Here is a 13,699-nt window from a genome sequence, read left to right as displayed (position 1 = left end):
TACAGTCATGGCAGAAGGCACAGCAGGGGGCCGGCATATCACATGGCAAAAGCAGGAACAAGTGAGAGAAAGAGTGAAGGGGGAGGTGCCACACACTTCTAACAACTAGATCTCCCGAGAACTCACACACTATCACGAAAATAGGACCAAGCCATGAGGGATTCTCTCCCATGACCCAAACACCTCCCACCCGGCCCCACTTTCAGCACTGGGGATTACAATTCAACATGGGATTTGGGAGGGACAGATATCCAAACTATATCAGTTTGTGTGTCATTTTTAATAGAAAAAGTTTAAGTCTTCTTAACCAGACCATAAACTCCCCAAAGACTGGGAACCGTTAGACAATTAAAGAAATTTTGGGGCTCTGGGCCATGCAGCAGGACCTACATCAGAGATGACTTGAGTGTACTCTAGACCGAAATGGAGGATCCAGGTTGGGAAATTTTTGTGTATATTGGGATTTGAGCACATCCTGATGCAGTCACCCCAGCATTGCGATGAGGTCTTATCTTTCCCTGTAACTCACATTGAGATATTTTCCAGGCTAGCCCATTGCTTGGGTGTTCCTGTTCATGGTCTGTGGCTCCCTGACCACATCATTACTGTCATGTGTTGCTTAGCCACAGGAATATATTCTAAGAAATATGTCATTCAGTGATTTTGTTCTTGTGTGAACATCGTAGAGTGTACTTACAAAAATCTGATGGTACAGCCTATTGCTCCTAGGCTACAAACCTGTATGGCATGTTGCCGTACTGAACACTGTAGGCAATTGTAACATAATGGTAAGCATTTGTGTGTCTAAATATATCTAAGCATAGAAAAGGTTATGTGCAATGCTATGATGTTATGATCCCTACACCATCAATAAGTGATAGGAATTTTTCAGCTCCATTATAATCTTAAGAAACCATCGTCATATATGTGGTCCATCATTAACTTAAACACTGGATTGCAGCACATACTATATTCATGCCACTCTCATCTTATCAAATTGGATCCTAGAAGGCAAACAATTGCTACTTTTTTCTATTCCCGTACCACTTCTCTCTTTTTGTCATCATAAACTAACCTACTATTCTTAAAAGCCTAAGTCCAATACACCACACATGCCTAAATTTGTCAGAAAACTTGCAAACAGTTTTTAGTTCGTTTTTTTTTTTTAGTAGAAATATAATATTGCTATCTGTGAAATAAGATTGAAAAGCAGCCCAGTGAAAGAGAGTGAAAATCCTTAACAGATCTCTACTAAAAATAAAAGGATAGAAAATGAAAAGACATTTGAAAATATAGACATGAACAACCTAGGTTGCCCTCATAACTAAACAATAATACCAGAAAGCAGTTAGTGCTCCATAACAGTGGTTGCCATTGTGCCATCCTTAGACTTACAGGATATACTTCATCCTCTTTTCTACTTGGCCTGAAAGATGCTATTTATTAAAACAAATGGGGAAAAAAGAATAAAATCTGCAGAGAAAAATAATCTTCCAGAAATCAAGGCCTACTAAAATGATAGGGCTGGTAAAACACATGCAAACGTCTTAGCTTTACTGCTGGTCAAGTCTGTAAACAAAACTTTTATGAAAACTGGAAAGAAAGTTCAAAAACTTAAGCCACTAATGGGATGTGAGTTCTTGGCATGTGCTTCTTCAAAGTGGTGAGCCTTGTGTAGACACAGCCACTGAGGGATGCTCTCTATTGCCTCTCTGATCATTACCTGGTGATGTTACAATGACCACAAATGACCTCTTGGCTTCTTCACACCAAATTTCCATCTCATCACTATTTCCAGTTCATGTAACAAGCAGATCCCTCTCCTTATCAAAACTCAAAACACTTCTACCCCATTTCTGACAGCTCAGCTACAGCACTGCAGCTGAATATTTAGTGTTCAGCATTATATCTGAGTATTCAGAGATTTAAGAAATGTTTGCGGAATACTTCCTATGTAGCAGGCAGTGTGCTAGGTACTAGGGTGAGCAAAATGAATAAACAAGCAATTATAAATAGAATAATAAAGGAAAAAGAGACATTACACAAAGTGAACCACATCAACCACCACTGAGGCAGAGGTAAATGCCCTTTAAGTATGGGGACTGACTTGATCAGAAAGTCCGGGGAGGTCTCCCAGCCATTGACTATTGAGTAGAGATCCAGAATAGATGGTGAGGAGAACAAGGATGGTACATGGTAAGAATTTAGGGTACAGAGGTGACATTTTGGCAGAAAAAAATTATTATACGCACAAAGTCCTGTGGCTGAAAAAGGCATGACTTCCCCATGGGCTTCCAAGAAACGTTAGTATAGCTGGAGGCCAGAGAGCAATCCAGGAGGCAACTAAGGAGGAATTTGAGGCTTGGGAGATGTGCAGAACTTAGACAAGTCAGAATTGTGTCAAACATGTTAAGGATTTTCATCTGTCCCTTGAGCCTACTAGAAGGCCTTGGAAATGCCAGTGAGGGAATTGTATAATGAAGTACCTAAAAAGACAGAGTCTTTATAGGTGAAGTGATGGACAATTGAGATAGCATGCTACACTTAAGATGCCTTGAGAAATCTGTAAAGTGTATTGGAGACTAGTAAACTAAGGTCCAGAAAAACAACAACTTGAAATAAGAAAATCAGAGTTCAAATCCTCTCCTTCTAGTTTCTAGCACTTTGACCTTGGGATAATTCATTAACTTCTCCTACTCATTACTTCAGCTTCCTCACCTGCCCTTGTAGCTGTGAGTTTCCAACAAGATCATCTATTTGATAGCCCCTTGCAAGCAATAATACTGTTGGAACGTAAAGTAGCAATGATTGCTGTAAACATTATAGCAATAGTTGTTGTAGTAGCAGTCATATTAAAAACTTCTATGAGACAGTATCTTCTGTGATAACAACCCCCAAATCTCAGAGCTAAGGATGACGAGCAGTTTTTTCCCCCTCCTGTTGAATGAGGACTACTGCTGGCTGTGGCTCTGCTGTAGACTGTGGGTTGGCAGAGCCTGCTCCCTGAGTCTTCTCATCCCAGGATCCACGCTAATGGAGCAGCATCCACCTTGTACACGCTGCTCTCATGGCAGGGGCCACAAGGAAAAGAACTGCTCGGATGTGGCATATCTCTTGGTTTAAGCAGGTCCCAAGGCCAAGCCTGAAATCAACAGCATAAGAATGCATTGTCTTCTCAGGGGTAAGAAGTGAGCAAATAATTTAGAACAATAATACAATCTACCATAAATATTTGTGTGTGAGTATGTCTGAAACTTCCTTAAACTAAGAAAAAAAGAGTAGACACTCCATATTGTAATCATTCTGATTAGGGGAGATAATTATGTGGCAAAGACTCGCCATCTGTATAATTTTTGCTTGACTTACAACAAAAAATTTTAAGAGTGAAATTTATTTTAACTATTAGATGCATTCTTAATCTTTCATAAATTAAATCATAGAAGAAATGATTTTTTAAATAAATCATCCTATACTCTTTTGTAAAGCAAATAAACTTCCAAAGTGAAAATAATCACCCCAATCTATCACTTTAGTATATTGCATACGAATCCAAAAGATACATGCAGTAGGCTTTCAAAAAATACTAACAAAGCCAGGTAGAATGTCATCAGGCCTGCTAACTGCCAGGAAACTCAGTACAATGAGGGCGACTGATAGGATTGCACTAGCAATTCACTGAACAAGGGGAAAGTATGAGGTGATCCTCTGCTCACCAAGCCGGAAGCCCTGGTGCAAGGCTATGTCTGCTCAGAGGAAGGGGCAACATGCTCCAACGTGCACAAATGTGTCTTTTAGTCCTAGATGAAGTTTCATCACATTTAAAAGGTTTCTCTCCTATATGAACTCTCCAATATCTGTGAATGCCTAATGTTTAGGAATTTTGTACATTGAATATTTGTAGCAGATTTCCTCATGAGCTATCTCTGACTGTTATCTTATGATTTTTAATTGTAAAGTCTCCTAAATTTGCAAAGACCAAAATATTTCTCTTTCTCAGTACCTGTCACATATGGATTTCAAAAACAAAAATAAAAACTGCTCTGGACTCAAAAGCTTCTATGTACTGTTTCTCCCCGCACTGGGAAAATCTGCCTACACAATCCTCTTCCCTTAAGACTGAGATTCATTTGAGATTTTTGGGGTTTGATATGTTTCTATTTTTAGTGGGATCTGACTCCTTGAGAATGAATGCCACGGTGGACTTTTCCCTCAGAGAACTATCTTGAGTACCTACAATTCCCAGGGCCTGTGTACTCATAAAATCTTGGTATTTTAAATTCTGGGCCTCCTCCTCAAAGTTATACAAAGTTTCACATCTAGAAGTCTGTGTGAAGTGTTCCTATCCTCAATAGTGTGACTACCCCGATGGTCTAGGTCTCAGGAACATCATAAATATTTCATGTAGCTCTCTATCAAATATCTGAAAGGCCAATCCTTTCCAGTATGAAAGTTCATCTCCTAAATGGGAGATCACCTTCCAATGGTGATCCAATGATCTCTCCCCAAACTACTGTGTAACGCTTCTTATTAGAAGTATTTGAGCAGTTCAGGGCTTCCAGGGAGGTGAACAAGAACACATCCACATACTGGGAGAGTGGCGCACTCCAACTCCACAGGGACAGACGCCCCCATGCTCAGGACTTTTCCAGACCTCACCCTATGTATCACTTTATCTGGCTGTTCATCCTTTACAATAAATTGTTTAATGCAAAAGTCAACAACTCTATATTGACTGGAGCAGGCTACCCTCAGATTCTGAGGCCTGGTATAAAGCTTACATTGTCTGCTCTGGTAGACAGGAAGAGCACTGATACTGGAGGCCACAAATTGGTGCTTGCCCTAGAGGCAGAGACTTAATCCAGCTGAAAGTAGCCTCCGAGAATGGATATCAGAAGATTTAGCCTTAATATATTTCCATTGTGACCAGCAGGCTTTTGCCCCCCTAAGAAGGTGTTCAAAACGAAAGATGACCCAAACGAGAGCTGTTTTTTAAATATTTAGACAGTTACTCATTAGCTGGTTTTTAGTGGAATTGGTTATCTATCTAGTTACCAGTGCTGCAATTGTGTAGTCACCTATACATTATTTAAACGTATTTAACTGTTAAATGTGCTATCCACCAGTTATAAAATAAACCCTTATGAAAACTGCACAATTGTGTACGTGTTTATGTTCCTTTAAGCATTGAATATTGCCATTGAATGAGATTAATCAGTCCATGTTTTAAGTTGAAGTTAAAAATTTTGTGTTAAATTCAGCCATCATTACAATTACCTTTTGTATTCCAGAACATGACAAATTATGAATAAAACAAATATACATCTTGTAAAAAGAAGTATTTGAGTTTCTCTAGAGCTCTCCACTCCCCCAGAAGTACAATATGCTAAACTCTGAGAATTCAACTACCATTAAGAAAGGGAGCACCCAAAAAGAAGAGAAAACCTAAGACATATAGTGATTAAAGCAAAAGAAATTGTGGCAGATTAATCTTCTGGTACTGTGGAATTGAATATCGTAGCCACTTTTAGAATCCTTTTATATCTTTTCTTCTGCCAAAGATATGATCCCTTAAGAGAACATGCTTTAACGTATAGATATGCTGCAATAATAAGAAATATCTTTATGTCTCTTCCTTGTGAAGATGCCACCTAAGATACCACTAATTCCTGATATATCTGTATAATGGTCCTCTTTGAAATAAATTTTTCATGATCGATAAGCCATTAGAGAAGATAATATGCTACTCCATTAAGTAAAATTATATATGATGTTTGTTGAGTTTTAAAATAAATATTAAATATGTTTACTTTTGGATGAGATATTACATATTAACTACACTATAACAAATACAGAGTTGATAGTTCTAGTGTATTTAGATAAGATAGTCTATAAAATTAGTCAAGGTAAATACATTAAAGATACATGGAGCATTTTTTTTAACTTTAAGTTCTGGGGTACATGTGCTGAACGTGCAGGCTTGTCACACAGGTATACATGTGCCATGGTGGTTTGCTGCACCTATCAACCTGTCATCTAGGTAAGCTCACCATCCTTTCTTCTTTTTTTTTTTTTTTTCGTTTTGAGACGAAGTTTTGCTTTTGTTGCCCAGGCTGGAGTGCAATGGTACACTCTCGACTGACTGCAACCTCTGCCTCCTGGGTTCAAGCGATTCTCCTGCCTCAGCCTCCCAAGTAGCTGGGATTATAGGCATGCGCCATCACGCCTGGCTAATTTTGTGTTTTTAGTAGAGATGGGGTTTCTCCATGTTGGTCAGGCTGGTCTTGAACTCCCAACCACAGGTGATCCGCCTGCCTTGGCCTCCCAAAGTGCTGGGATTATAGGTGTCACCCACCACATCCGACCCCTGCCCTTTCTTTTAAGAGCACAGGCAGGTCCCTCACTCTAGTGCAGTGAACTTAATGAGAGCCTAGAGTGAATGAAACGGTGATGCCCCTCTTGATGTGGAGTTACATGGTAGATATCATGCAGCCAGTTTTCTCACTCATGGATGAATTTTCATGACATTCTCTATTGAGTTGTATGGATCTAATAGAAACATCTATGGGTCTTAAGGCTAAATATTTTTTCATTGCCCCTCTCATGTTTTCTGCTAGTTTTACAAAAATACCCTGTCAATTTTCAGATAAAAGCTTTTTAACAAATTCAAAATGTCATTATCTCTGCTACTTGTACAATCAACTTAAACCCAGAATAGAGCCTGCAACTTACCATCTCAGCAAAAGAGAACAGGTGAAAAAAGAAAGCAAAACTGTAGAACAAAAAGATGTAAAAAAAAAAAAAAAAAAAAAAAAGGAAGACAGACAAATAAGGCACAGAACTGTATTAGAAAAACACTTTCTACTTTAATCACACAGTGGTGTCCAGCCTCGCCTTCTCGACCCCCTGCTTTTCCTATTTCTTCCTTGTTAGTACGAGTCACTCCATTGACCAACAAAATTACCACACAGTGACCACCTCTGGTGCATGTTGAATACTTGATTTAGGGCTATTACGCTTGTCCCAAAGAGCTCAAAGCAGATTTAAATTTCCATAAATCTATTTGCTAGACATGTAGGTAAAAAACTTATTTGAGCAACACAGGTAGTTTTTATTTAAGTTGGCCTTTAGTGTTCTTTTTTAATAATTTTCATTACAAGAGCCATAAAACCAGCAAATTTAGAACAATCCCACTCAGTAAAAAGAAAGTCAAATTTGATATTCCAATGTTAATGCCTAAATAACAACAATTTTAAAATTTCCCAAATCATGAGTGATTGGGTGCATTCACTTATGAGATCCAATTAACCTTCTGAGGCTTAGGGGCAAATGACCTTGCTAGAATATATCAGGAAAGGGAATTGCAAAAATTGCACTGCTTGCACCTGTGGTCCTTTAATAACTTATGAGCAAGTTGATTTTTCAGACATTAGTGCAAAATGTATATTCCATCTTTTCAATGAAATCCTGATCTTTTCCCTGATATACATTTCAACTCCATTATCACCTTGAGACAGAGATACAAGATGCCCATTTTATGATACTGTAGTGTGGCAAGGGTAACTATACTGCAGGTTAAGATACTCAAAGAAGTGACAAACAGGACACAAAGCTCAAAAAACCCTCTGAGCTAGCTTTCAGGATGAAGGAGCCCTTTTTAGAGAGGACTGTCTTCATTCTGGAGATATAGATTGGAACATTCATTTTACGTAAAACTATTTGTAATATAAAACATGGTCTGACTAAGCCACAGTATTGTGTCTGCTGGAATGTGAGCTATTATATACTTGGTAATATTTAAACACAAACACAAGAACAGCTTTCCAAGTTTCCTGTTCTATATGCTTAATAAGCTTTAGATGCTTTATTTTGAAAGTTAGGCAAATTAGAGTTTTTAAAAATATGAATTCAGTAAACTCAGCAGCACAAGTTAGTACACTATTGATTAAAAATATATATATAACAATTAATACAACTCAGTGTACACAGCACATGTTCTTCCATCATCTGATTCTGCCTCGCACTGTAAACTTCATCCCAGACTTCACTTCCAGCCAGCTTAGTTCAGTCCACTCTGCCTCCCCACCACACTTCCTATCCCAAGTTGTTCCAGCCCAGCATAACTGCATCAATTGCAGCTTCAGGAACTCTCTTTCTAAACTCTCTTTCATGCTGAAATCCATATAAACAGATTCCTTCATCTCTAATCCCTCACCTACCCTCCATTCTACAAATTTATTCCCACAATCTTTCCTTTGACTAATTCTTCTTTACCCCTCCAAAATATACACAGGACCCCAAACTGCCAAGAATGCATGTGGCAATACAGTAAACATGTTTTTAGCCTCGGATGGCACTCTTTTATTCTGCTTTACTTCATAGGTTTTGGCTTTGCGCAGATCTTTATTTGAGTAAATTAACAAATAAATGATATTGCCCACTGGTAGAAAAATTCATTAAACTCCCAAGATCCCTTCTAGTACACTTTATTTCACAGTAAATATTCTACGTTGAGTATCATGTTGATATTCTAGTATCCAATTTTACCATCTAGGTTATGTTTCATTTCCAATTAATTCTCTAATTTCCTGGCTTGTGGTATATTTGACTTGTTGCTTAAGCAAACAATAATGAAAGTCACCATCCTCCTATATCATAAGATTGATACAATCATGTTAATCAAAATTCTGAGAGAAACTATAATTTAAAAATCATGTATATCTTCATGCTTTTGTTTTCAATAAGTTGACAAATTTAAGAAAGCACTAGAAAATGATAAGCAATAAAAATTATAAAAAATATGAGTCTTTTATTCTGACTTTATCCTTACAATGCTTGTTATCTAATAGCAATATTAAATATATTATTGTTCTTTTATATTAGGTTTGCTAACAACAATAATATATTTTTCCTCACTAAAAAAAAAAAAATATATGCTTCTGGTTTAAATGCCATCCTTAGGAGTACAAGCTTGAAAGCTGTGCTACCAGTAGTGTATTTTAAATGTAAGGGAGCAAATATTGTTTCTGTCAACCTCAAAGAAAAGAATGTACTCATTATGTTCAAAACTTTAACTTACTACAATAATGACACTGGTTTCAAAAAACTGAACTTTTTAATAACCAATAACCTTTTTTCACACAAACTTTTTACACCTCTAAGCATGCTATAATTTCTAAGCACTATTCCTCTTTGCTTCAATTATGTGTTCCCATGCTAAAAAGCAAAATAACAAAGTTTAAAAAAAAGAAAAAAAAAAAAAGGAAAGGGCCTTTTCCTCACTGCCAGGACCCAAGCTTATCTCAGCAGCCTCCTATTTTTAACCAGATTGCAAATGGTATCCGTGATCAAAGGCCCGGAGCCCTGGAGGAACTTAGGCAAACAGCACGCAGCAGAATGCTTCCTGATGATCTGTAAGCAGGAAAGGACTTTTGACACGAAAGACAGCTTAAACAGCACAAGAATAGCAATAAACCAGCTGTAAAATGGTTGCCCTTGAACGAAAGCAAATTGTTCCAAATAATTTTTCCCGTTTTTGCAGCCTCTGGATGTCCCGCTGGGGCATTTAAACAGCCACATGCTCAGTGTACAAAAGCTTCTCTAAGTGGGAAAATACAGTGTACTAATGTGTTTAGAATAAGGAACCGAACACATCCAAAGTTCAGATTTGATGCTTCCTTTTCCTTTTGTTGGAGAATGAGTTCATTAATGCCAGGCTTGTTTTGGATACTAACTAAGCTTCCAGTCAGTAATGTTGAAGGGTAATTTATTGGCTTAGAAATACTCAATTAACCATTGAAGTGGTTGTTAATTTAAAAAGTAAACGGATTGTTGAGCCTTTACATAGGACTGTTCATGCAACTGGAATGTATATTTACCTAAAGATTAAGAAGTACAATGCCTACTTTTCTTTGTTATTTTCTATTAAACAACTTATACTATAGGAATGCCATGAATACTGTGAAGTTTATATACATCTTCCCCACTATAAGTCATGAGAATAATATAATACTTACTGTTAACATAATTACAAGACACTTCTGTATGTGCAGTTTTATTTAATTCACACAAAAGCTCTTAAATCTAGTGTTACCCAACACCATCCTTTGAATAAATATGTAAGATACAATGTTCTCTCTCATTGATATTTATTCTAATCAATTATATTAATTCTATATTTAAAATAATAGATTAAAAGGAAATCTTTTACTACTTCATTATTTACAAAATCATGGTAAATATATTGAGTAATTTAGAAACCAATATGCTTATATTAAGAGGTACATTTTATTCCACAAAAGAAAAATACCTTTAAATAATTTGGCAATTCACTAATAAATGTTAGGCAGAGAGATTTATTTAAAAATCAGACAATTGAAAAACCTTTAGAGTTACTTAGATACACATATGCATTGCTTAATAGAAATATGTTGCTTTAAAATTAAATTTAAATACAATATTTATTAATCAAAGCATACAAAATACATTTAGGGTTATTTAAACTACATAATCAATAGACTATGATACCAAGATCTTATTTTCCTACAATAAATTATCATTCTAATTGTATTGACTAAGTCTATATTTCCTAATTTGCCTAAAATGTATAAATTCACTCACAACTTTGTGGTCTCAATTAGCATAAACATCCCAACAAAACCATGTGTAACCATTGTATGACCAGGGAAGCAAACTCTGCCTAAATCCCAAAAATCACTTTGAAAAATTATTGTTTTAAATGCAAACAAGAAAAGAAAAGGGAAATTTTCTAAAGTAATCCTCAGCTTAACAACAGTTGTGTTTGGAAGCACCTAACTAGTGACTTCTGATGAGGTCAATGATTATATATTAAATTTCTAAGTGCTTTTCTGTGAAAGTAATCAAGTTATCAAAACGAATTCCTCTTTCAATCATAGAAAAGTGGTACTCTCCTGATCAATATTTATTTATATAATGTCATGTAAACTATAACATTTACTAGTAAGAATACAGTACATATTAAAATCAAATCCCTTTTTCCCCCAGAGATTTATTTCGTGTTATACTTTGTTTTACTTTTATCATAATGAATATGGGCACAATGAGTATACAAAGCCTTTCTGTGCTTGGTCAGGGAACCAGCTAAAGTACTGGCTCAATGGCTCTGATTTTAAACCATGTTTTACTTAAGACTAATTTTTCATCAGTGTTAGAGGTTAATAACACTGTTATTTCCTCTATTACCTGGATTTAATAAAAGCAGTGGGGCATAACATTCTGTAAAGCCAGGCAATAAGAGGAAATAACACAAATGTTAACCTCTAACATAAATGTAATGGTAATTGCTCCAGTCTAGTTTTAAAATTGATGCCTTTGGTAGTCTCCCACATGGCCAAAAAAAAGCTCTCTCCTCAGTGTCCCAGCAACCACCAAGATCCAAGGTCAAGGGCAAATTATGCCATCAATTTGTATGCTTAACAACATTTGTGCACCATATCATCCTTAAATATAGAAACACATTGTTTTAGGAATAAAACACGACAATAAAGCAGTGAAGCTGCAATTATAAATCAGCTAAAGTGAAAGTACATGTTGAAAATGTTAACGAAGATTGTTGCAATACAGAAAAGTTGATTCACCTTCTTACACGTAAAATATAAAATCAAGTTACACAATAAGGTAGATAAATCTCCTAATTAAATACTGAAGAAAGAGAAGCATGCAAAACAGCTTCATCTATATCTAAGCAGGATGTATGAAATTTTCACTTTTTCATTTATATCCAATACTTGTAAAAATTCATTGTGGTTATTTTATATACATATGTAGCGATTATTTATTTCTATTTAATAAGCATATTTTTAATGTTTTGGCAGATAGAATTAACGTCTCTTGCATTACATGTCAACTTTGTCTTGCATAGCACCAAGTCATGTCAGCAGCCTCTTTAGAAACTAAAGCCAGCAAGTTAAGATTAATTTCTGCTAATTATCTCAGACCCTCAGACCATACTGTTCACACACTGGGAACCAAATTTCCAGACTCAATTTTTGCAAATCTGCTAGGCCCCTCAACATTTGTCGGTGTACCAAACCAAAAATGTTCCAAGCTTTCCTCTTTTCAAATACCACCACTCTTATTACACATTACAACCATTTATTTCCTGTCATCTTTTCATATTCAGTTTACAAAAGCAAAACCATGCCTTCAAACTGTTAATGGTCCAGAGTTTGTTAGAATCTTTTCTTAATAATTAAGTTCCTCATGTGCATGGATCTTGTCACTCATTTCTTATATTCTTTAAAGGTCTTCTAAAATGGGTACTTGGTGGGCACCCAAAACATATTAACTTATTAGTATTCATGCCGCAGTAGAAACAGGAAGGAAAGATCTTTATTCAATCTGATTTAGCCCAGCCCTACCGTATTGCTTTCATCGGGTATCAGAAATCCAACTTTTGATCAGCCTCCTGTCACATAGATTGTGAATGTCAAAACCTAAGCACTTATCTTGTCTTCTGACAACTATCAAGTAGAAGAGGAACTTCAGTGGTAACTTACTCTTTAAAAAAATAAAAATTAATTTACACGGCAAATGTAATCATGATGACAATGTCATCTAAAAAATACATACCAGCTTTGTCTTTGAAAAGCTCAAAATCTTTATCACTTCATAAAACATGGGGACCAAAAATCTTCAGACAGGCCTAAGGGAAGTTTCGGAAAGAGAAGTTTAATATTTGACTGATGAGAAGGATCGCCAGTGGCCCACAGCCACAAACAAGGTCACTAAAATAGACAGAAAAACCTCCTCAGGTGTGGTCTCTTTGTTGTGTATTTACACTGGCTCCTGTGTTGAAATGAGGCCTCTATGGTCCTGAAAACTGCCAAAAAACCCTGGCTGAGTGAAGCTATAAACACAGTGTGCGATGATAACCTCTGCTGCACTCCATGTGTCCCAAAATCTGCTAAGACCTTCACTTCAGTCTGCAACAAGGTAGAAAAATATTTGAGGTCAATAAATTGGGGACAGGGTGCAGGGAGTGATGAGAGAAGCTCAGGGGTAGAAAAGGAGGCAAGGGAGCACAGTTCCTTGTTTAAGGAAAGTGGTAGGACCACTTACCACCTATATTATCTAAAGCTCATTACATAATCCCTCAAAGCTACCTCACTCATAGAACTAATAGTAAAACTATCTAATGCACAAAGTACATAAAATAATCTAAGCAAAGAAGTGATTGGTACCCAGTAATTATTCTCACGCATTAAATGCATTCTAAAAGCCAAGATTATGAGGCAAAATGTAAACCTGAGGTGGACTTCAGTTCCAGAGACTCAAGCTCTTCTGAATCTTTCTAAATCAAGTAATTTATTCTTGAACTCTTCATTTGGACAATTATGGATTCATGTGCTCACATTATAAGATATTAATATTATAGACAGCCTCAAAAGACAAAAGTCATACCTGTCACTGCTAAGAAAATGCTACTTTACTTAATAAGCTGTCAATAATTACATCTGGAGAAGGAATAAAAAATGACAGTTTCCTCTTAGAAATTATTACGAGAGAGAAATTCAAACTTTTTTGTTACAAATATTCAATTCTGTGTTTGTATTTGACAACAAAATAAAACTAGTTCAAAATTTTAAAAGACAAATAATAGATAGTCTCTATCCCTGAGGAGTTCAGAGTCTAATGGAAAAAATGTATGCATAAATCATAA

At 36.2% G+C, this 13,699-nt stretch overlaps 1 long non-coding RNA gene across 2 annotated transcripts in view, besides 1 other annotated feature; it reads right to left on the bottom strand.

Moving 5' to 3' along the window:
• Positions 1-13,699, bottom strand: part of LINC01091 (long intergenic non-protein coding RNA 1091) — a 280,788-nt gene that overhangs the window by 64,062 nt on the left and 203,027 nt on the right. Inside the window, exon 3 of one of the 2 annotated variants that reach the window (NR_027106.2) lies at positions 1,144-3,142. The exons of the other annotated variant lie outside the window; for it this stretch is intronic. This is a non-coding gene — a long non-coding RNA (long intergenic non-protein coding RNA 1091). Of the gene's footprint in view, positions 1-1,143; positions 3,143-13,699 lie in introns of those variants that run through there. 2 annotated transcript variants of the gene reach the window in all.
• Positions 8,342-12,058: an enhancer, noted in NCBI's record as "VISTA enhancer hs1525". NCBI's record gives its function as "enhancer in: limb[5/10] | heart[6/10]" and the evidence as "EXISTENCE:transgenic organism evidence [ECO:0001131][PMID:17130149]".

The sequence above is a fragment of the Homo sapiens genome, chromosome 4, assembly GCF_000001405.40.
Source record: "Homo sapiens chromosome 4, GRCh38.p14 Primary Assembly".
Classification (NCBI taxonomy): Eukaryota; Metazoa; Chordata; class Mammalia; order Primates; family Hominidae; genus Homo; species Homo sapiens.
This window is presented reverse-complemented; position numbering and strand designations above follow the sequence as displayed.